The sequence below is a fragment of the Homo sapiens genome, chromosome 15 (genome assembly GCF_000001405.40).
Source record: "Homo sapiens chromosome 15, GRCh38.p14 Primary Assembly".
Taxonomy (NCBI): Eukaryota; Metazoa; Chordata; class Mammalia; order Primates; family Hominidae; genus Homo; species Homo sapiens.
This window is the reverse complement of record NC_000015.10, coordinates 49,595,473-49,620,585: the sequence shown is the minus strand read 5'-3', so window position 1 is coordinate 49,620,585 and position 25,113 is coordinate 49,595,473. Positions and strand designations below refer to the sequence as shown.

General features: G+C 35.4%; 1 protein-coding gene across 28 annotated transcripts in view; it reads left to right on the top strand.

Annotated features, from left to right (window-relative positions):
* FAM227B (family with sequence similarity 227 member B) overlaps positions 1–25,113 on the top strand; it is a 293,849-nt gene that overhangs the window by 233 nt on the left and 268,503 nt on the right. For 22 of the 28 annotated variants that reach the window (XM_047432224.1, XM_047432222.1, XM_047432221.1 and 19 more), the window contains exons 2-3: positions 5,343–5,465; positions 9,318–9,371. In XM_047432224.1, coding sequence (XP_047288180.1) covers positions 5,415–5,465; positions 9,318–9,371 — 105 coding nt within the window. In that variant the 5' untranslated portion in view covers positions 5,343–5,414. Of the gene's footprint in view, positions 1–395; positions 2,643–5,342; positions 5,466–9,317; positions 9,372–14,367; positions 14,431–25,113 lie in introns of those variants that run through there. The other 6 variants (XM_017021996.2, XM_047432223.1, XM_011521322.2 and 3 more) reach the window with 4 other exon arrangements.

Genomic DNA, 25,113 nt, shown 5'->3' with positions numbered 1-25,113 from the left:
TTATTTCGTGTGCTGTGTGGTAATGAAAGCTATTAGAAAAATCATTTGTATCTTAATGATTTAGTTTGCATAAAAACACGCATATAGAGTTAAGAGTACTTTGTGTTTTTCCACTTTGAAGTATAATATGTGGATAAGTTATTAGAACATTTGTCCGTGCCTCTCCCCAAACAATGCGCAAACGGAAGTGCACTCTAACAACTAAGATTTTAAAACACAATGGTCAAATGTTGAGCAATGTTTTATTGACTACTCTGAATTTATCAAGTGGTAGATAAAGGACATTACAATGCCCTAGAAGTGCTCACGATATCAAGTAAAGCATGTTAAATTCAAGTACAGAAAATGCAATATTCTTACTACTGAGATAAAAAATGGAATTTAATAAATTACAGGAATTTCAAGAAAGCTGAGAATGGAGTGGTCAATAAAGGCTTCTTTTTCGGACTTGGGTAAGGCCTTGAAGAATGATTTAGGTTTAGGACAGTGTTTTTCAACTGGAAAGGGGATTGTGTGGGACCCATTAGTGGAGGTCTTGACCCATTTGTAAGCAAGGAAATCTCTTTAAACTTAAAAAAAAGAAACAATATAGATTGGAAATATCAGCGCATGTAAGTAAATTTAGTGTTAGTTAGTAAAGTACTGCTTTATGGAGCTTTTAATTGTATATATGCGTGTATGTGTGCACTAGGGCTTGTTTGTAAAATGTATTTCTTACTGTATTTCAAACCTTAAAAAGTTTGAAAGCCAGTGATTTAGGGAGAAAGGTGAATTTTCTGGGTAGGGAAAGTAGAATAGCAAAGTCTATAAGCCAAGAAGAATTCACAACCATTTTCCTTTTTAGTTTAACTCTAAATTTTATCAAAGTAGTTAAATTGCACAGATTAAAAAGCAAATAATACTACTTGTTAGATTGAGCATTGGGTTGCTATCGTATGTAATAAATTACTCCAAAATATGGTGGCTTAAAACAACCATTTTATTATGTTCACAGGTGGTGTTGTCAATAGGGCATAGTCATCAGCTTTTCTTTGGTAACTCAATTAGAAAGACTAGAGTGGGCATGCTAGCAGAGCTTCTGTAACTATATGGCCGGGGTTTCCTCACAGTATGGCAGCAAGGTAGTCAGACTTCTTAGCTTAAACTCAGAGCTCCAAAGGGAGTGTTGCAATGAACAAGGCAAAAATTGCCTGACCTTTTCTGACCTTGCCTCAAAAAGTAACGCGGTGCTACTTCCCCCACTTTCTTTTGCTTACAAATGTGTCAAAGTCCTGTTCCATTTTAGGAAAGGAGACATAGATCCCTCTTCTCAAAGGATTGGCAAAGATTTCTTGTCCATGTTTTAAAACCAGCATAGTGAATTTACTTCTGTAACAGAAAACCCCAAAATATCGGTGGTTTAATACACTTTTTTTTTTCCTCACAAAAGATCCATTGTGGCTATTTCTAGGCAGACGAAATGTTAAATTCAAGGCCAGATGTTTTTATTTTTAATGGTTCTGCTGCCTTCTAGGACTAGCTTGTTTGACAAGAAAGAAAGTATGGCAAATTACCCAAGGTTAACTCTAAAAATGACATGTATCAATTTGGCCACATTCTGTTGGCCAGAATTTAGTCCCAAGGCCCCCACTTTAACTGCCGGGGATCCTGAGAAATGTAGAGAAACACACACATATTGGTGAGCACTAACAGTTTGCCACATTCTAGGTTAAAGAAAACCCTGTAGTACCCAACCCTTCTACTCTATTCTCAATTCTTCTCACCAAAGGAAAATTCAAGTCTTTTAAATATTTCATCTGTTACCCCCATGTCTAAATATACTTACATTGCAGTTTCTTGATTTTCCAATTTCAGACATTACCCACTGACTTTCTCCTGTGGAAGGCAGTGATAAAGGTCTTTTGTAACAACACCACCTCCAAGTGTGTGAACATTCCCTCTCTACCTCATACACTCTTCTTGTCCCTTCACCTGTCAATAGTGATATCATAGGCTTTGGCTAAATCAACATTTAGTGTTATCACTACTGTCTAGGTAAATGTCATTCAACCCCAAGGCACATAGTATACTAAGATCGCATTAACTTTTAATACAACTTTTTACTTTCCTTTCTCTTAACTGCCATTTTTAATGTATTATTTATCTGTTCTCAAACACTGGCAAACTGCTAAAGCATCACAGTGAAATACATCAGTTAATCCAGTAGATTTTTTTTCCTTACAGATACTCTTCCTACAGCGTTACAGCCTTTAGTTTATTTAGGATTGCTGGTTTCTCCAACATAATACTGCTCTCCTGTGTGTTAGATCCCTTGTTTCCTTTTTCTTTGTTTAATCCCTTTTTAAAAATGAACTACATTCTCTAATACCTTCTTGGAAAAAGGTAAATAGGAGTGTAGTAGATAGAATAATGGCCCCCAAAGATGTCTATATCCTTACCTCCAGAACCTGTTGATATTTTATATGGCAAAAGGAACTGCATATGTGATTAAGGAGATGGGCTAAATTACCCTGGATTGTCTGGGTGGCTGGACATAATCAAAGAGTTCTTATGAGAGGAAGACAAGATGTCAAGAGAGGGGAGAAGACTCTACACTGCTGGCTTTGAAGATAGAGGGAGGAGCTCTGAGCAAAGGATAGCAGGTGACTGCTAGAAGCCCCTTTTCTCACAAAAAGATCTTCTGGGAGAAAAAATTATGTGTATTAAGCCATTGATATTTTGTGTTTTTTTTGTTACACAAGTAAATTTACTATGCTGGGCGACAAGAGTGAAACTCTGTCACACACACACACACACACACACACACACAAAACATGAAAGGAGCATAGCCCTGCAGACCCATTTCAGATTCCCGACCTCTAGACCTGTGAAATAATAAACTTTGTGATTTTTTAAGCCACTTTGTTAGCTGTTTGTTACAGCAGCAATAAGAAACTAATATGAGATGAATTTTTTTTTAGTATCTTGCAAATCTGAAAAATGCCACACATTTAATTGATGCTCTGTTTATATTTAAATTTACAGATTGAAAGTCATTTTCTGGCATAATCCTCTAAATTATTGTTTTTTTATCCTCTGATTCTTGTTTACTTTAACATTTTTGTTCTAGTTTCTAGAAGATTTCTTCAGCTATTTTTCACTAGACTGTTGTTGAATAATTTATATCATATTTGTACTTTGCATTTTTTCTTATTCTGTATTCATTTATAACATGCAGTTTTGGTTTCAGGGATGCATTATCTTATTATAGCTCTCTATGAGTCTTAAAGACTTTTTTGAAGTTTCCTTCTGTTCCCCACATTGTCTGTATATGCCTAGATTTTATTTTTAGTCACTTGTTTGGATTTCCATTTTTTAAAAATATTTTTTATTTCACAATTAGTCCATAAATAATAATCTTTAGCTTTCTATCCATTTTGAAATACAAGGATTAAAATGGTGATAGAAAGCCTCATGGTGTCTCAACAGGAATTGTCAAGCATTCAGCTTCATAGTAGAGCAAGGTTTATCATTGGAAGTTTCTCAAACATTTAAAGAAGAAAAGGGACTAATAAAGATAAGAATAAATCAATGAAATTAAAAACAAATGTGCACTAAAGAAAAGCAACAAGGCCAAAACTGGTTCTTTGCAAAGATTAATAAAATTGATAAGCCTTTAGATAGACTGACCAAGATAAAGAAAAGTACAAATTTCAGAAATGAAAAATGAAACATCACCACAGACACTACAGATTGCAAAGATAATAGGAGGATATTAAGAATAAATATTTATATCAAAATACTTGACATTTCAATTTTTCTTGAAAGATAATTTACCAAAATTAAGAAGTAATAGAATAGCTGAATGATCCTATATTAATTTTGATAGCTTATATCTGTATTAGTCTACCTAGGATGCTGTAATAGAATACCACAGAGTAGATGACTTAAACAACAGTAGTTTATTTTCTCACAGTTTTAAAGGCCAGAAGTCCAAGACCAAGGTGCCATCAGTGTGAGTTTCTAGTGAGGCCTCTCTTCCTGGCTTGTAGACCACTGCCTTCTCACCATGTCCTTACAAAGCCTCTTCTCTTATATAGACAGAGCATCAGTTAAGTGTGTGGCATTTTTCACATCTGCAAAATGCTAAAAAAAAAAATCACTCTTTCTCCTCATATTAGTTTCTTATTGCTGCTGTAACAAACAGCCAACAAGCAAAGTGGCTTAAAACAACACAAAGTTTATTATTTCATAGTTCTAGATATTTTCACAGATAAAATATCTGTGTGTATATGGAGAGAGAGTATAAGCAAGCAAGCTCTCTGGTGTCTGTTCTCATAATGACACCAATCATATTAGAGCCCCACTCTTTTAGTCTCTTTTAACCTTAATTGTCTCCTCAAAGGCTCCATCTGCAAATAAAGTCACATCTTGTTATAAGTGTTAGGGCTTGAACATATGAATTTGGGGTGGGGGCATGATTAGGTCCATAACAGTATCCTTAATTTAAAACTCCCCCATAATTTCAGGTTCAGGTTCAGGGAACATAACTAGCAGTGTCCACCAAACATTTAAGGAAGAAAGGAAGAAATAGTACTGATCTTTCAGATTTTAAATTCTTTCAGATAATAGAAAAAAATAGAGGCATTTCCCAACTCATTTTTTTTGAGACCATAATAGCCTTAATTCCAAATCTTCACATTATAAGATAGAAAAATTCAGGCCAATCTTTCTTATAAACATTATAATAGCTTATATTATTAGCCTTCCCTTGTCCATTTCTTGTTATATGCATGTCGTTTGTCATGTGACGTAGTAGAACCTCCAGCTTCATGAGCAGAATATATTTTCCAGCCCTTCCTCCCCTGCTGCGTTAGTCCGTTCTCACATTGCTATAAAGAACTACCAGAGACTGGGTAATTTTAAAGAAAAGAAGTTTAATTGACTCACAGTTCCACAGGCTGTACAGGAAGCATGGCTGGGGAGGCCTCAGGAAACTTACAATCATGGCAGAAGGTGAAGGGGAAGCAGATGCGTCCTACATGGCTGGAGCAGGAGGAAAAGGGTGAAGGGGGAGGTGCTACACACTTTTAAACAACCAGATCTCATGAGAAGTCTATCACAAAACAGCACTAGGGGGATGTTGCAAAATCATTAGAAACCACCCCCATGATCCAATCACCTCCCACCAGGCCCCACCTCCAACACTGGGGATTCCAACAGTTCAACATGAGATTTGAGTGGAGATACAGAGCCAAACTATCTGACTTGGTAAAAGTCAGAAGTGAGGTTTGTGGGTGAGGGGAAAGGGATTGTTTGGCTGAGTCATTTATTTTTGCATTTGGGTGTCTTTCATACCCCAGTTTGGTCGCCCAACTCACATTGAAGCCTAAGACCCAGCTGATTTCTCTTCATTTCTGCAAAGTTACTGTACCATGGCAGGCCAACGAACATGTCAAAGGAGGAGCAGCAGAGCTGGCCCCGGGGTAAGGAAGCTTCCACAGCTTTATGTTCACTTACAAAGGTTATATTTCTCTTGGAATTTCAGGTAATCAGGGCTCCCAGGTAGAGCTGGCTTTGTCACTGAAACACCAAGGGTTTGGTCTAGGTCTTAATGCTCGCTGCACAGATGGCCAATCACTGAGATGAGTATTGCCAAGGAAGAAAGCTTTAATAGGGTGCTGCAGCCGAGGAGATGGGAGATCAGTCTCAAATCCATCTCCCTGACTGACTAAAATTAGGGTTTTATATAGCAAGGAAGAAATGTAACCATGTGTGGGAAAACAGAAATTAGGGAGTGGTGGTAAGAAGGAGGAGTTGGTTAACAGGAAACAGGTAGTCAGTTAGGCAATCATGATGGGTGATGGTGAGGAGTCTAGAGGCTAATTGTCAAGATATAGTGATTTGGTATGTTTTAGTTCCTTGACACTATCTGGGAGGCCTGATGGTTAGTTTTCTGGGAAAGGAACTCAGATAAGACCAATGTAACTTTCTCAAGTTTTAAGACTAGAAGGATTAATTTCTATATTTATTTAAAGAAACCATAAACATTAGTTCTATGGGACAGTTAGGCTTGTTTTTAGCTTCATGGGTTTACAACTTCTGCAGTTGCACAGGGCCTTATGCTGAGAAGTACATGCATTTGGTTTAATGCTCTGATGTTATTATCTTCAAACTCAATAATTTTGAACAAGGAACTCTGAATGTTTACAAGTTATTTAACTGGTCCTGCCTCCTGGCATTCACCACTTTTCACTAACCCCATAGAAAAATATGATTTTTTTTTTGTCCAAGTTTGTCTTATTATTATCATGGAAGTGTAGGTGTTTTATATCCTTCTACATCCTACCAAAAGTAGAAATCTGTTTAATTTATACCTTACCTTATTTTAATTTTACCCCAAAAGAAACATGGAATTTTTGAAATTAGTTAGAACTTCACTATGCAAGTTTCACTTTCTTCACTTTTCTAATTCCCTTTAATTTAAATGTGCATATTATTTTTGGTGCTTTGTACTTGGAGTGGTTTGACAGCCATTACAAGAAAAAAAAGTCAATGCTTAAATTGTTTTCATTAAGTTTGATTCTGTATATTTGTAAATGTATTGTGAGTTCCTTCTAGCCAAATTGCTATACCCATGAAGCTAGAGATATTATATCGTGAGTATTTTTCTGTCTGTAAGCCTTTTGCATGCACCATCTCTCATATCTCTCATTCTTTTCAATTTGACTAGCTCTAGAGTTCCCTGTTTCCCATAACATGTTCTTCACATCTCTATGCATCTTTGCTTCTGTCTAAACATTTGCTTTCCTTTTTCAAATTTTTATTTTTAATTTTTAAGGGTACATCATAAGTATATATATATTTATGGCATACATGAGATAATTTTTGATACATACAATATATAATAATTATATCAGAGTAAGTGGGGTATCCATCATTTCAAGCATTTATCACTTATTTATGTTGTAGACATTCCAATTATACTCTTTTATTTATTTTAAAATGTGCAGTAAATTATTGTTGACTATAGTTAGCCAGTTGTGCTATCGAATATTAGATCTTATTCATTCTCTCTAGCTGTTTTTATTTGTCCGTTTGTTTTTTAGAGAGAGTCTCGCTCTGTCACCCAGGCTGGAGTGTAGTGGCACAATCTTGGCTCACCGCAACCTCCGCCTCTGGGGTTCAAGCGATTCTCTCACCTCAGCCTCTCGAGTAGCTGGGACACCTGGCTAATTTTTTTGTATTTTTATAAGAGACTGGGGTTTTACCGTGTTGGCCAGGCTGGTCTCTTGTACTGTTGACCTCAAGCAATCCACCTGCCTTGGCCTCCCAAAGTGCTGGGATTACAGGCGTGAGCCACCATGCCTGGCCACTCTGTTTTGTTTTGTTTTGTTTTACCTTTTTTTAAAATTTTTTATGGAGATTGGCTCTTGCTGTGTTGCCCAACCTGGTCTCAAACTCCTGGGCTCAAGCAGTCCTCCTGTCTTGGCCTCCCAAAGTGTGCTGGTATTATAGGCATGAGCCACTGTGCTTGACCCTAACCTATATTTTTGTACCCATTGACTATACCCACTTTCCCCTCACTTCCCACTACCCTTCTCGGCCTCTGGCAACCATCATTCTATCTCTATCTCCATGAGTTCAATTGTTTAATTTTTTGACTCTCACTAAATACTCATTTTCTATAATGGTTGTCACATACACTCTTTATCTTCTTCTTGTATTATCAGTTATATATTTTCTTATATTCATCATATATTTAGATGAATGAAATATCCCCCAATTCAAATATGTAATTATTTTTTAGCATTTTTTTCTAAAACATGAACTTGTGATTCTGTAATCTTGACCACTTTATATATTGATATGAAATATGTGTTTTAATAAATAAAAATGTAGTACAATCTTTTCAGTGATATCATCATGGATATTAGGATATTAGACTTCTGAATTCCTCTTATTTTTGCCTTCTCACTGGATTTTCATTCTCTAGAAGTATTTTTATTATTTTTCAAGTACCTATATATTTCTGACATTCATCTACTCATTTATGCTTTAATTTATGCACACTGCGAGTACTTATTATGCATTGACTATGAACCAGCCACTGTGTGAAATTTAGAAAATTCAGCCATGATTCACATATACACCATGGAATACTATGCAGCCATAAAAAATGATGAGTTCATGTCCTTTGTAGGGACATGGATGAAGGTAGAAACCATCATTCTCAGCAAACTATCGCAAGGACAAAAAACAAACACCGCATGTTCTCACTCATAGGTGGGAATTGAACAATGAGAACACATGGACACAGGAAGGGGAACATCACACACTGGGGCCTGTTGTGGGGTGGGGACAGGTGGGAGGGATAGCATTAGGAGATATACCTAATGTTAAATGACGAGTTAATGGGTGCAGCACACCAACATGGCACATGTATACATATGTAACAGACCTGCACGTTGTACACATGTACCCTAAAACTTAAAGTATAATAAAAAAAAATAGCCTCTCCAAGGAATTGGCCGGCTACAAAATAAACATACCAAATTAAAAAAAAAAAAAAAGAAAATTCAGCCATGATTGCACCATAGTTTCTATCCTCATAGAGATAATCTGCTGTATGTTACCACGGAGAAAACTTTGGGGGATAAGAAAGGCTTGATGGACAAAGTGACTTTTAATTTGTTATTTGAAGTAAGAGTTAAATAGGCCAAGAAAGGATTGAAAGAGGGTTTGGGAAAGGGAGACTTCTGGGCAGAAGGAAGAATGTAGGCAAAGTCTCTAAGGCGAAAAGGAGAAAGTTGTGGTCTGGATTAAAATTAGTTTGTGTAATGTTGAATACATTTTGAAATCACAAAGAAACTACTAAAAAATGTGATTTTTATCTATTAGACTGAAATATCCAAACATTTAAATTTATTTTAACTATGTAACTAGTTAACTTTTTAAAATACTTTATCAGCAAGAACATATTATATTTTTGGCTCTGGATTTATTATAGAGGCTATCCATGATAGCCCAAAATATCTTGGAACTCTTTTAGGAATCTGAAATGAGGACCTAAAGCAAGATTCATGTGGAGTTTTTCTCTAGGGCTAGTGTATAAGAGGGAAGCCTATTACAAAATTTGGTTTGGAGGCTAAGAACTTAAACATTTATGTGTGTCCCTTTTCAAAGTGGAGGGATGGTATAAAGTGAGCATTTTATGATATCTTACCGCTCTGAAAATGATAAATAGAGTATCATTTTATTTAAGTAAATTATTTGTAAATATTATGAACAGTCTAGTGAGTTTATGCCAATGAACAATGTTGATATTACTTTATTAGAAAATGCAAGAACCTCCAAAGAGCATTGAAGAATTCTTAAAGTTTCAAAATTGGGTGAGTAAAGCATCTTATTTTATGTGCCATTACATCATTTTAAAATATCAGTTATGGAGATTTAGAAGGCTTAGAATAAACTTTAAGACTAGAAATTTCAGAAATATGTTTCAATGAGGAAAGTGTGTATATAAATACTTATGTCCTTTGAGTAGGCTCTATGTTGTAGTCTTCCCTCTTGTCAACATTCTATTCTCTTTTTCACATTAAAAAAATTCTAGCCCTATACAGACATTTCTATATACTTTTGTTATTGTAAGATTTTTGTCTTATGTATTTACACCTTAAAGAATATCCAACAGTTATGCTTACTTATCTCATTTATTTATGCACCACACCTGAGACAGGTAATCTGTAGAGGTGTTACATCAATATTCCTTGATTATTGAATCAGAGTGAAAAATTCAAAATGTGTTTTCATGTTAAAAGTTCAGTTTCCATTGTTATGCAAAATTACTGACTTCGCCTGGGGTTATTGGACTTGCTAAGTCTTCCCTTGGATCCATGCATCTGCAAGTGTGAAGGTCATATTTGTTTTGCATTGAGGAATGTCAAGTAAGGGCCAGAAGAAAGATGTCAGTATAGAAAACAGAAAAAAGGTGGCTTTTTAATTAGATATGTTTGTATTTTGAGTGGATTGGAATATAAATAATTTACATTTATTTATGCTTAAATGTAAATAGTATTTGCTATGATTAAACTGCTAACAATGTAGTTTCAGAAATATCTACTTTTAAATATCTATCTTCTGTTTTTATATTTGTTTAGACAAGTTTTTTTTTTTTTTTTTTTTTACTTTCAATGTTTTGGGAAAGGATTGCGCTCAGATGAAAACATTCTTAGTCATAAAAGTTTACTTCAGTCACATGGTGTATCTAAGTATGTTGAAATACTTTTGGAACAAACTTTTTGTAACTATTTTGATTTAAATAATGATGCAAATGTGCTGCAGCCTAATGACAATGTTTAAGGACTTTTTAATGTTTTAAGTTTTAAGTTAAAATTAATCTAAATTCAGCAAATAATGGAGACTGTATTATTATACATGTTTGAGGACCTAGGATTTTAAATAAAAAATTCTAATTATTTGAAGTAGTAAATATGTTATCCCTTTGCTTAAATTGAGAATGATACCAATCAAATCAAGATAGTGGGTTTATGCCAGCTCTTCACTAAATACAGGATAAAAATCAAATCAAACCATGTCTTATTAATAGTATGTCAGTAGTATCATCTTTGTATGCAAAGGATATATTTATATTTGTATTCAAAGGCTATATTTATAGCCTTCAAGTTTTATCAGGTAGCATTTGATAAAACAACATATCCATCTGTATCATTTTGTCATTTATAGGTTTCTCTGTAAATCTTTTCATATTTTCTGAATTTCCCAACCAAATACCCATATTCTGTAGTTATTTTTTATGGTTTGACTATGTTTATACATTGCCAAACTATTGGATATTTGAAAATATTCAGGAATAAAATGACTAGATGCTTAATTTTTTGTTTGCTATACAAAGTCTTTGTCCAATAGACAATGGTAGAAAAGTAGTGACTGCCATGAATTCATTTAAGAAATATTTTTGAACACCTGCTATGTGCCAGGCACATAGATGCTTAGGATATATCAGTGAATAAAAACAAGCAAAGATGCCTGCCCTTATGGAGCTATTATTCTTTTAGAATTGAATCATGTTATTAATCCAAGCTCTGCTGTTAACTAGCATTATAATAGTACTTGCAACCTACATGTTAGCTACTTGTTTCTCTTGTCTTCTACTTAATCTTTTATCATATCATCTAAAGTCCTCTCTTTTTTGCCAGTTCCTACCATTTCTATCTTTTTTGGTAATTTTAATATTTTATATCATCTACTCCTCTCTTTCACCTCTTCCTATCTCCTGTTGTACTTCTGTGTATCTTTTTATCTTCAATTGTTTTTATCCTCTCATTTCTCTATTGATCATTTCCCACATTCCCTTTACTCCATCACAATTCTATTTCTAGTTTTATTTTTATAAAAATATTTTTATGTTTTTATAACATCTTCTTTTTCCACTATTGTTGTATCAGTGTCAGCTCTCTTACTTATCCTATTCATTCACTCATTTAGTTACTTCCGTTCACTACCCACTATTTGCCAGATATTTTTCTGGGCACTGGAGTTACAGCTATGAACAAAGACAAAAGATTCTACTCTTAAGGAATCTACATTATCTTCCCCCTTTTTGTCTCATCTCTCTTTACTGTCACACTTTAAAAAATTCTTTTTGGTTCTTCAAGTACAAAGTGTTGATTCCAATTTCTTCCATATTTATATATTATACTTTTGATTTTTCATGTTATTTATTTCTTATTACCTTTTTTCTGTGTCCATGCAACTTTTATCTGGTAGAACTTTAATTCATCTTTTCTTAGTTCATCAATGTTAATTTTTGTTAACAGGCCTGTTAGATTCGTAATCTGTGTCTGAAGAGTACTCCATGATATGATTTTTCTTAGAGGATCAAAATTATTTTATGATAGAGAAAATAATAATTTCAATCCCATTCTCTTTTTTGAGGGAATAGCCTGATTTATTTGCTTATTTGTTTATTCATTTATTTATTCATTAATCCATTTAAATCCTTATATCAAAGCTTAATATAAAGGAAAAAGAGCTAAATAATAGTCACTTTTCTTACTAATTCTAGTCATGCTTCTTATTTCTTACCTTCTGTTTGATACTTCAGCATTGTCTCTTGGGCTTTGGGACATGGGTGAAGACTTACCCATATATTCAATAAAAAAAATTCCTCTCTAAACTCCACGAGAGCCCTTTTGTCTGTCTACTCTCCCTTCTCCATCTCTAGTTTTATATTAGCATATAATAATTTGTGCTTCTGCCACTGCCAAAGTTAATTGCTATAATTAAAATAAACATGACAAATACATAGCCAATTCTTGCTTCACTGACCCTGTTTTAAACAAGGTAAATGTTCTTCTTACTTATCACTAAGGACCACAGCGCTATAATGTAGAATTTAACTCCTTAGGGAACAAAAACTTCTAGTCCAATTCTTTTGTTCTTTTGGGATTTGAATACATTTATTTACTTTTAATTAATATAATCACCATAGACTCTGGATGCTCATACTCTAGTAGTAGTGTTGATTTTCTTTCGGGCAGTATGAACTGCCTGACAGCTAATCTGCCTGTTAGCTGCTAGTTGACTCGATTTGCCTTTTTAGGTCTGGCCACAAAATTTATTTTTTAGATAACACTCTATTCAAGAGGTACCTTATTGAAGGCAAAATATAAAGGAATAAGGAAGGAAAGTAATAGAGAAATGAGATGGGGAAAATAGATTATGATCTGCTACAAGATATGATCTACTCCAAGATAATCATCTGGTATCCATTTAATAATACAGCCACAAAGAATTAAAAGAATTTAAAAATCACCTTCTTTATATTAATGACTTTGGGACACCAGTCTATCCCTTGATTACCTTGGTGATGTAGAGAAGACAGAGTCTCATCAGCCTTATGGAATTTTTGGAAACTTTATTCAGCTCATAATATTTCAATATCTTGGGGAAAAGGATTGTGATATAACAAGTCTGACATAAAGAACTGACATAAAGACATTTTCATAAAGATTTGTACATATTATAACATCTTTTCAAATTCCTTTTAGCCTCTTCCTTCTCCCTCAACTCCCCTAACAATAGCAACACATGACTCATAAGGACTGTGTTTTCAAATGTGGCTGCCATTCTAAATTGACAGTGTTGGTCTTCAGGGATTTTACCCTGTGACCTTCTCTTATTCTTCAAAATCTTTTAAATTTTTGACACAGTTTTCCAGATTTCAATGCTGGAAAACTTTCCCAAGTGGCTATGCGTCTTATTTAAGATACACATTTACAGGATTTGGAAGAGGGCACTTAACGTATTTATATAGCACTCTTTTTTTCAAAATGACAGGGGGACCTTTTTGGAAAAGTTTTGCAGTGTTAAGCACTGGGTATTATTTTCATATCTTACTATTAGCACAGTTAATAAATGAACAAATGTATGATGAGTTTAGGATTGCTTTTAAAGGAAGAAAAAAGGAGATGGAACAGACCAAGGTGGGTTTGAAATTTCTGATCTGCAGACCTCAGATTTCTTCCCCTTAAGCTAAGGCCCCAGTGTATTTTACCCAAACTCCATTGCAGAGTTTCATCCTACACAAGTCTCCCACCATCCCAAAAAGTATTCTCTTATTCATAAACTTTTAATTATGTTGACTAACTTTCTTTGTTTTGCTATTATTTGGTTATATTAAAAGATCTTGTATTTAGATTTGCAAATATTAATGTTGTGGTTCCACTTCCCTTCTTCTCTTCATTTCCCTTGTTTCCTTTTCATTCCATCTGCTTCCTTTCCTAAACAATTTAGTATTAAAGCCATCTGGTGGCCAAAACAAGGCAGGCTTCCACATTGAGAAAGAAGGGTTTGCTTGGTGGCCCAGAGCAAGATTTCTGAGCCCAACAATGGTGAGGAGGATGTCCATGTGACACCACAGGTATCAGAATCCAAGGGAATGATGATGATATTCACACATAAAGGGAGAAGAGGAAGGTAGCCTTCACTCTGATGTGGGAGGTCAGAGATCAAGTGGGGGTAAGGAGGATGTCCTCACAGAATTGGCAACCTAACATGCGATATTAGAGCCCAAGTAGTATGAAAAGGATATCCACGTAAGGAAGAGTCTGGGAGCAAATATGAGAGATTGGTTACATAAAAGGATTGATCAAATAAGTAAATATATTAAAGATAATGGTAGCTAGGTTTTTAATTGTTAGGGATGGCAATTATAATACGGAAAGAGAGAAAACTAGAATGGTTAGAATTGGAATTAGAGGCATCAGTGTGAACTCATGGCTTTGAATATATAAAAGTAAAAAAAAAAATACTTAGGAGAAATGACTCCAGCAAGATGGCAAAATAACCTTTATCCCTTTGCAGAAATATCAATTTGAACAACTATCCTTGCAAGAAAAATACCTTTACAAGAGCTAAGGAATCCAGGTGAGATATTACTAGTCTTCACTATATGGGAGTCCTAGGCGTGGCACAGAAATAAGAAAAGATACCTTGAAGAGGTTAGGAAGGACATTTTCAAGTTACCAAGCAAGGGCAGAACAGTGTGGAGAGAGATACCTTTCATGTGGGAAAGGGAAAGGAGAATGAAGTGAGCACATAACTTTGCCGTGGACCGCAGCAAGAGGACTGTGCAAGCCCACCCTCCACAGCCCCAAGCTCCAGGCCAGCACCTGTAGACCCAGTCTCCAAGTCCACTCCAGTGGCAGGATAGCTCCCACAGCCCCAGGCTATCCCTCTCAGACTCAAACTCCAGCTCCATGCCAGCCCCTTGGATTTTTGATTTTAGGCTACCACATGAGGACCCAGGCTCCAGGCCCACTCCAGCACCAGGCTGCTGCAGGCTCCAGGCCATTTCCAGGGGAGGCAGGCTCCAGGGCAGTCAGACTTCAGGTCCACTCCAGTGTACTCAGGACCAGGTCTGCACAAGTAGACCCCAGCACCAGGCCAGCCCATGGACCCAGGCTCCAGGACTGCTCCTGAGACCTAGGCTTAAAGCCAAACCCCACAAGTCCAGGAACCAGGATATCCCCCAAAACAGATTCGAGGCCCACCCCAGCACCAGGCCAACCCCCACTTCAGTGTCAGGTTGGCCCCTGTGGACCCAGGCTTCAGTCCTGCCTCCACAGATTAAGTGTACAGGCTGCACCCAGTGGACTGCTGTGCCAGGTCAACATCCCTTGAGCCTAGGACTCAGGACCACTCCGGTGGACCCAAGAGGTAATACCACCTAAGGGAACCCAGAGGCCCAACCCCATAAACCAAACTACAAGGCTAGCCACTGTGGGCTCAGGTAACAGGCCTGCCCACATACTGAACCAGATACCAAGTCAGCTTACCTGACAATTCCAACAGGAAGTCCATGGACCCCACCAGCTGGCCTGCCTACATTTTCTGGGTGGGCTGACAGGTGAAGGGCTTTTGTGCTGAAGCCAGCCCCCAGAAGAGGCGCCTGTTCTTCAGATGTGCAGACATCAAAACAAGGCAGTCAGGGAAACATGACATCACCAAAGTAACAAATAGAAGCATCAGTTACCTAAAAAAATAGAGATCTACAAACTGCCTGATGAAGACTTAAAAATATCATCTTCAAGAAGCTTAGTAAACAAGAGAACACAAAGAAAATCAGGAAAACAATAAAGGAACAAAAGTAGAGGCTTATAAAAGAGATAAAAAATCATGAAAAATCCACACACAGAAATTCTGGGAGCTGAAGAACATAATGATTAAACCAAAAAATTCCATAGAAAGCTTCAACAGCAGATGTGATCAAGCAGAAGAAAGAATAGGGGTACTCAAAAACAGATCATTTGAAACTGCTGTCAGAGGAACAAAAACATAGAATGAAAAATAGTGAATAAAGCCTATGAGACATGGGACATTGTCAAGTGAAACATATATACATAATAGGAATTCCAGAAGGAGAAGAGAAAGAGAAAAGGGTAGAAAGCTTATTTAAAGAAAGAATGATAGAAATATTCCTAAATTGAGAGAGCAAAATAAACAGCAGGATCCATGAAGCCCAAAAAACTCCAGATAGATTAAGACAAAGAAGAAATCTTCCCCAAGATACATTATAATGAAATTCTCAAAAGTCAAAGATGAGATAATTTTGAAAGCAGCAAGAAGAAAGTTATTTATTATATACAGTTATAAGATTATAAGCAGATTTATCAGCAGATACCTTGAAATCCAGGAGAGAGTGGGATGATAACGAAGTGTTGAAAAAAAAACTGCCAACAAAGAATTTGATAACCTGGCAAGGCTCTCCTTCAAAAATGGAAGTCAAGATAACAAGTTTTGCACACATGGAAAAAGTGTTGGGAGTTTATCACCACTAGATGCTAAAGGGAGTTCTTCAAGTTCAAATGAAGAACACTAACAATATAAAAACATTAAAGTATAGAACTCACCATAAACGTAAGAATATAGTCAAAATCAGAATACTGTAATAGTGTATTGGTAGTATGTAAATTACTTTTAACTCTATTATAAGAGTTAAAAGGCAAAAATATTTAAAATAACTATACATCAAACTGAATTCAACAAAACATTAAAAGTATCATTCATCATGGCCAAGTGGGATTTATTCCAGGGATGCAGGGATGGTTCAACATACACAAATCAGTCAGCGTGATATGTCATATCAACAGAATGAAGGACAAAACCCATATGATTTCCGCTGATGCTGAAAAAGCATTTAATAAAATCCAACATTCCTTCAAGATAAAAATCCTCAAAAAACTGGATATAGAAGGAATATACTTTAACATAATAAAAGCTATATATGACAGACCCACAGCTAGTAACACACTGAATGGAGAAGAGCTGAATGCCTTTCCTGTAAGATCAGGAACACAACAAGGATGCCCACTTTCACCACTATTATTCTAACTTTCACTGCTATTATTCAACCATAGTACTGGAAGTCCTAGGTAGAGCAATCAGACAAAAGAAAGAAATAAATGGCATCTAAGTTGGAAAGGAAAAAGTCAAATTCTCCTTGTTTGCAGATGATACGATCTTATATTTGGAAAAACCTAAAGACTTCATCAAAAAACCCTCTAGAACTGGTAAAAAAATTCAGTAAGCTTGCAGGATACAAAACAACATACAAAAATCAGCATTTCTATATGCCAAGAGAGAAAAATCTGAAAAAGAAATTAAAAAGTAATCCCATGTATAGTAGCCAAAAATAAATGAAATACCTAAGGAATCAAGTTAACCAAAGAAGTGAAATATCTCTGCAATGAAAACTATCATGAAGGAAATTTAAGAGGTCACCAAAACATGGAAAGATAGTCCATGTTTATGGATTGGAATAATCAATATTGTTAAAATGTCCAAACTACCCAAAGCAATTTACAGATGTAATGCAATCCCTATCAAAATACCAGCGACATTCTTCACAGAAATAGAAAAGAAAATCCTAAAATTTATATGAAACCGCAAAAGACCCAGAATAGCCAAAGCTATTCTAAGCAAAAGAGTAAAACAAGAGGAATCACATTACCTGACTTCAAATTATACTACAAGCTGCGTTAACCAAAACAGCATGGTACTGGCATAAAAACACATATACACCCATGGAACAAAATAAGAGAACCCAGAAACCAATCCACACACCTGCAGTGAACTCATTTTCAACAAAGGTGCTAAGTACATACATTGAATAAAGGACAGTTTCTTCAATAAATGGTGCTGGGAAAACTGGATATCCATATGCAGAAGAATGAAACTAGACCCCTATCTCTTTCCATATACAAAAATCAAATCAAAAGGGATTAAAGACTTAAATTTAGGATCTCAAACTATGAAACTACTACAAGAAAACACTGGGAAAACTCTCCAGCACATTGGTCTGGGCAAAGATTTCTTGAGCAATATGCCACAAGCACAGGCAACCAAAGCAAACATGGACAAATGGGATCACATCAAGCTAAAAAGCTTCTGACCAGCAAAGGAGACCACCAGTAAAGTGAAGAGACAGCCCATAGAATGGGAGGAAATACTTGCAAATTACTCATCTGATAAGGGATGATTAATAACCAGAATATATAAGGAGCTTAAGCAACTCTATAGGAAAACTAATAATCTGATTAACAAATGGGCGAAATATTTGAATAGACATTTCTCAAAAGGAGACATACAAATGGCAAACAGTCATATGAAAAGGTGCTCAACATCACTGATCATCAGAGAAATGCAAATCTAAACTATAGTGACATACAATCTCACCCCAGTTAAAATGGCTTATATCCAAAAGACAGGCAATAACAAATGCTAGTGAGGATGTGGAGAAAAGGGAACCCTCATACACTGTTGGTGGGGATGTAAGTTAGTACAACCACTACAGTGAACAATTTGAAGGTTCCTCAAAAATCTAAAGATAGAGCTACCATACAATCTAGCAGTCCCACTGCTGAGTGTATACCCCAGAGAAAAAAAATCAGTATGTCAAAGAGATATCTGCACTCCCAGGTTTGTTGCAGCACTGTTCACAATAGCTAAGATTAGGAAGCAATCTTAAGTGTCCATGAGCTGATGAATGTATAAAGAGAATGTGGTACCTTTACACATGGAGTACTATTCAGCCATAAAAAAGTGGGAGATCCTGTTATCCACACAACATAGATGGAACTGAAAATTTTTATGTTGAGTGAAATAAGCCAGGCACAGAAAGACAAACATTGCATTTCTCACTTATTTTTGGGTTCTGAAAATCAAAACAATTGAACTCATGGAAATAGAGAGCAGAAGGAGGGTTACCAGAAACTGGGAAAAGGAGTGGGAGGATTGTGGGGAGATGGGGATGGTTAATAGGTACAAAAATGTTAGTTAGAAAAAATGAGTAAGACCAAGTATTGATAGCACAATAAGGTGAGTGTAGTCAATAATGATTGAATTGTACATTTAAAATAACTAAAAGAGTATAATTGGATTATTTGTGACACATAGGATAAATGCTTGAGGGGATGGTTACCCCATTTTTCATGACGTGATTATTATGCATTGCATGCCTATATCAAAACCTCTCATATACCCCATAAATATATATACCTACCATGCACCCACAAAAATTAAAATTAAATTATTACAATAATTTGATAATGGATACACAATATATTTAAAATGTAAATAGTGAAATCAGTAGCATAAAATGTGAGAGTGGGAGTTAAAGTGTAGAGTTTTTGTATGTGGTACATATGAAGTTGTTATCATCCCAAAATATAACATAATAACTGTAAGATGTTTTATGTAAGCCTTATATAACCACAAGGAAAAACCTTGTGTACATACACAAGAGATAAAGAGAAAGGAATCAAAGTGTACCATTATTTAAAAAATCATCAAATCACAAAGGAAGAGAGGAATAGAGGAAGAAGAGAATGAAGTTACTATTAGGTTGGAGCAACAGTAATTGTGGTTTTTGCCATTAAAAGTGATGGCAAAAACCGCAATTACTGTTGCTCCAACCTAATACAAAACAATCAGAAAACAGTGAACAAAGTGGTAGTATTAAATTCTTTTTTTTTTTTTTTGAGACAGAGTCTTGCTCTGTCACCCAGGCTGGAGTGCAATGGCGCGATCTCCACTCACCGCAACCTCTGCCTCCTAGATTCAAGTGATTCTCCTGCTTCAGCCTCCGGTGTAGCTGGGATTACAGGCGCACACCACCACACCCAGCTAATTTTTGGTATTTTTAGTAGAGATGGGGTTTCACCATGTTGGCCAGGCTGGTCTTGAACTCCTGACCTGGTAATTCGCCCACCTCAACCTCCCGAAGTGCTGGGATTATAAGTGTGAGCCACCACGCCCGGCCTGGCAGTAGTAAATTATTCCATGTCAATAATTGCTTTAAATGTAAATGGGTTAAATTCTTTAATCAACAGATGTTAAGTGGCTGGCTGGATTTTTTTTTTTTTTTTGAGATGTGGTCTTGCTCTGTCACCCAGGCTGGAGTGCAGTGGTGCGATCTCAGCTCACTGCAACCTCTCCCTCCCGGGTTCAAGAGATTCTCCCTGCCTCAGCCTCCTGAGTAGCTGGGACCACAGGCAGACACCACCACACCTGGGTAATTTTTATATTTTTAGTAGAGATGGGGTTTCACCATATTGGTCAGGTGGGTCTCAAACTCCTAACCTCGGGTGACCCACCCGCCTTGGCCTCTCAAAATGCTTAGATTACAGGCATGAGCCACCATGCCTGGCCGGATTTAAAAAAAAAAAAAAAGAAAGAAAGAAACAGCTATATGCTGCATACAAAAGACTCACTTTAGCTTTAAGGACACACATAGACTGAAGGTGAAGAGATGATTAAAATAAATTTATGCAATGGTAATAAAAGAGAACTAGGATAGCTCTACTTCTATCAGATTAAGTAAGCTTTAAAGTCAAAATCTTTTAAGAGAGACAAAGAGGGTATTCATATAATAATAAAAGGGTCAATTTGCAAAGAGTGTCTAACAATTGTAAATATATATGCACCCAGTGTCAGAACACCTAAATATATGAAGCAAATATTAACAGAATTGAAGGGAGAAATAACAGCAATACATTAACAATAGGAGACTTTAAGGCCATATTTTCAAAAATGGATAGATCATATGGAGAGAAAATTAATATGGAAATAGAGGACTTGAACAACTCTCTAGACAAAATGGTCCTAACAGACACATACAGATCATTCTATCCAAAAGCAACAAAATGCAAATTTTTCTCAAGTACACAAAGAAAATTCTCCAGGATGGATTATATATTGGGCCACAAAACAAGTCTTAACAAATTTTATAAGATTGAAGTCTTATCAAGTACCTCTTGTGACCACAATAATATTAAACTAGAAATCAGTAATAGGAGGAGAACTGGAAATTGAACAAAATGCTCTTGAATAGCCAGTAGGTCAAGGAATAAATCAAAAGGGAAATCAAATTATCTTGAGATAAATGAAAATGGAAATAATGTACCAAAACTTATGGAATGCAACAAAGGATTTCTAAGAGGGAAGTTTATAGCAATAAATGCCTACATTAAGAAAAACTCTCAGATAAACAATCTAACTTATATCTCAAGTAACTAGAACAAGCAGAACTAACTAAGCCCAAAGTCAGTAGAAGGAAGGAAATAACAAAGATCAGAGCAGAAATAAATGGAGAGACTGGAAAAACAATAGAGATGATCAACAAAACTGAATTGTGTTTTCTGAAAAGATTAACAAAACTGTCAAATCTCTAGCTAAACTAAGGGAAAAAAAGAAGAAAGATTCAAATAAATAGAATCAGAAATGAAAGAGGAGACATTGAAGTTGATACCACAGAAATATAAATAATTATAGTAGGCTACCATGAGAAATTATATACAAGTAAATTGAATAACCTAAAATAAATGAATAAATTCCTTGAAACATACAACCTACCTTGACTGGATCATGAAAAATAGAAAATCTGAACAGACCAATAATGAGTAAAGAGATTGAATCAGTAATTGAAAACCTCCCAATAAACAAAAGCCCAGGACCCTTTAACTTTACTCATGAATCCTACCAAACATTGAAAGAAGAATTAGTATCAATCTTTCTCAGACTCTTCTGAAAAATAGAAGAGGAAAGAATACTTTCAAATTTATTTGATGAGGCTAGGGTTACCCTGATACTACAAGGACACGACAAGAGAAGAAAACTGTGGACCATTATCTCTTATGATGAATAGTAATGGCAAAATCCTCAACAAAAACAAGCGAACCCAATTCAACAGTACATTAAAAGGATCATATACCATGATCAAGTAGGATTTATTCATGGGATGCAAGGACGTTTCAACATATACAAATCCATAAATGTGATAAACCACATTAGCAGAATAAAGAATAAAATTATTATCAGCTCAACAGATGAAGAAAAAGCATGTTAACAAAATTTAGCATTGCTTCATGATTTTAAAAACTCTCAGCAAATTAGGTGCAGAAGGAATGTACTTTGAGATTATAAGGACCGTATATGAAAGCCCACATCTAACATCATAATCAATAGTGAAAAATGGAAAGGTTTTCCTCTAAGAACAGAAACAACACAAGGATTCCCACTCAGCACTCCTATTCATTATGGTATTGAAAGTTCTCCTAGAGCAGTTAGAAAACAAAGAAACAAACCATCCAAATAGGAAAGGAAGAAGTAAAATTGTCTCTTGCAGATAACATAATTTTGTATACACAAAACTCTAAAGATTCCAGAAACTGTTAGAAATACTGAATGAATTCAGTAAATTTGCACAACATGGAATCAACATTCAAAAATGAGTAGTATTTCTAGGTACTAGCAATTAACTATTAAAGAAATCAAGAAAACAATCTCTTTTACAATAACATGAAAAAATACTTATGGATAAATTTAAAGAAGGAGGTATTGGCATGTAGCTTTTTTTGTTGTCTTTTCCTAGTTTTGGTATTAAGGTAATACTGGCTTCATAGAATGATTTAGGGAGGATTCCCTCCTTCTCTGTCTTTTGGAATAGTTTCAGTAGAATTGGTACCAATTCTTCTTTGAATATCTAATATAATTCAGCTGTGAATCCACCTTGTCCTGGACTTTTTTTTTGTTGGTAATTATTTATTACCATTTCAATATTACTGCTCATTATTTGTCTGTTCAGAGTTTCTATTTTTTTCCTGGTTTAATCTATGAGTGTTGTATATTTCCAGGAATTTATCCATCTCCTCTAGGTTTTCTAGTTTATGTGTGTGAAGATGTTCACAGTAGCCTTGAATAAACTTTTGTATCTCTGTGTTATCAGTTGTAATATCTCCCCTTTCTTTCCTAATTGAGCTTATTTGGATCTTCTCTCTTCTTTTCTTGCTTAATCTCGCTAATGGTCTGTCAATTTTGTTAATCTTTTCAAATAATTTAACAAGCTTTTTGTTTAGTTTATCTTTGTCTTGTCTTTGTTGCTTCAATTTCATTTAGTTCTGCTGTGATCTTATTTCATTTCTTCAGCTGGGTTTGGGTTTGGTTTGGTTTCTGTTTTCTCTGGTTCCTTGAGGTGTCACCTTAGATTGTCTTCTTGTGCTCTTTCAGGCTTTTTGATGTAGGTATTCAATGCTGTGAACATTCCTCTTAGCACTGGTTTTGCTGTACCTTAGAGGTTTTGATAGGTTGTGTCAATATTATTGTTCAGTTCAATTTTTAAATTTCCATCTTGATTTCATTGTTGACCCACCGACCATTCAGGAGCAGGTTATTTTATTTCCAGGTATTTGCATGGTTTTAAGGGTTCTTTCTGGAGTGGATTTCCAATTTTATTCAATTGTGGTCTGAAAGAGTACTTTATGTAATTTTGATTTTCTTGAATTTATTGAGACTTGTTTTGTGGCCTGTCACATGGTCTATCTTGGAGAATGTTTCATGAGCTGATGAATAGAATGTATATTCTGCATTTGTTGGCCAGTATGTTCTGTAAATATCTGTTAAGTCCATTTGTTGTAGGGTATAGTTTAAGTCCATAATTTCTTTGTTGACTTTCTCTTTTGATGACTTGTTTGGTGCTGTCAGTGGAGTATTGAAGTCCCCCACTATTATTGTGTTCCCATCTATCTCATTTTTTAGGTATAGTAGTAATTGTTTTGTAAATTTGGGAGCTGCAGTTTTAGGTGCATATATATTTAGGATTGTGATATTTTCCTGTTGGACTAGGCCTTTCATCATTATATAATGTCCCTCTTTGTCTTTTTTAACTCTTGTTGCTTTAAAGTTTATTTTGTCTGATACAAGAATAGCTACTCCTGCACTTTTGGTGTGAATTTGCATGGAATATCATTTTCCACCCCTTTACCTTAAGTTTATGTGAGTCTTTATGTGTTAGGTGAGTCTCTTGAAGATAACAGATACTGGGTTGATGAATTCTTATCCATTCTGCCATTCTGTATCTTCTAAGTGGAGCATTTAGGCCATTTACATCCAATGTATTGAGATATGAGGTACTATTCTATTCATCATGCCAGTTGTTACTTGAATACCATGGTTTTTTTTCTTTGTGTTATTGTTTTATAGGCCCTGTGAGATTTATGCCTTAAGGATGTTCTATTTTGTTTTGTTTTGTTTTGTTTTGTTTTCAAGATTTGTTTCAAGATTTAGAACTCCTTTTAGCAGTTCTTTTAGTGCTGGCTTGGTAGTCTCTCTCTCATCATTTGTTTGTCTGAAGAGGACTTTATCTTGTCTTCATTTATGAATCTTAGTTTTGCTGGATACAAAATTCTTAACTGATAATAATTTTGTTTAAGGAGGCTAAAGGTAGGACCCCAGTCTCTTCTGGCTTATAATGTTTCTGCTGAAAAATCTGTTAATCTGATAGGTTTTCCTCTATAGGTTACCTGATGCTTTTGCCTCATAGCTCTTAAAATTCTTTACTTTGTTTCGACTTTAGATAACCTAATGACTGTGTGCCTAGGTGATGATTATATTGCAATGAATTTCCTGGATGTCCATTGAGCTTCCTCTGTTTGCATGTCTAGATTTCTAGCAAGGCAGGGAAGTCTTTCTTGATTATTCCCTCAAGTAAGTTTTTGAAACTTTCAGATTTCCTCCTCAGGAATACCAGTTATTTTTAGGTTTGGTCATGTAACATAATCTCAGACTCCTTGGAGGCTTTGTTCATTTTTAAAAAAATTATTTTTCCTTTGTCTTTGTTGGACTGGGTCAATTTAAAAGCCTTCTTGATTTTGAGCTCTGAAGTTCTTTATTCTACTTGTTTGATTCTATTGTTGAAACTTTTCAATGTCTTTTGCGTTTTTCTAAGTGTGTCTTTCATTCCAGAATTTGTGATTTTTATTTATGATATGTATTTCTCTGGAGTTTTTGTTGTCCATATTCTGTATTTAATTTTAATTCCCTCATGTTTGTTTTCCCCTTTCTCGGTGCTTTCTTGAGTACAAAATTCAGCATCCCTTTATGATTAAAACCCTCAGCAAAATCAACATAGAAGGGACATACCTTAAGGTAATAAAAGCTATGTCAAACCCACAGCCAACATTATACTGAACAGGGAAATGTTTAAAACATTCCTTCTGAGAACTTGAACAAGACAAGTATGCCCACTTTCACCACTTCTATTCAACCCAGTAC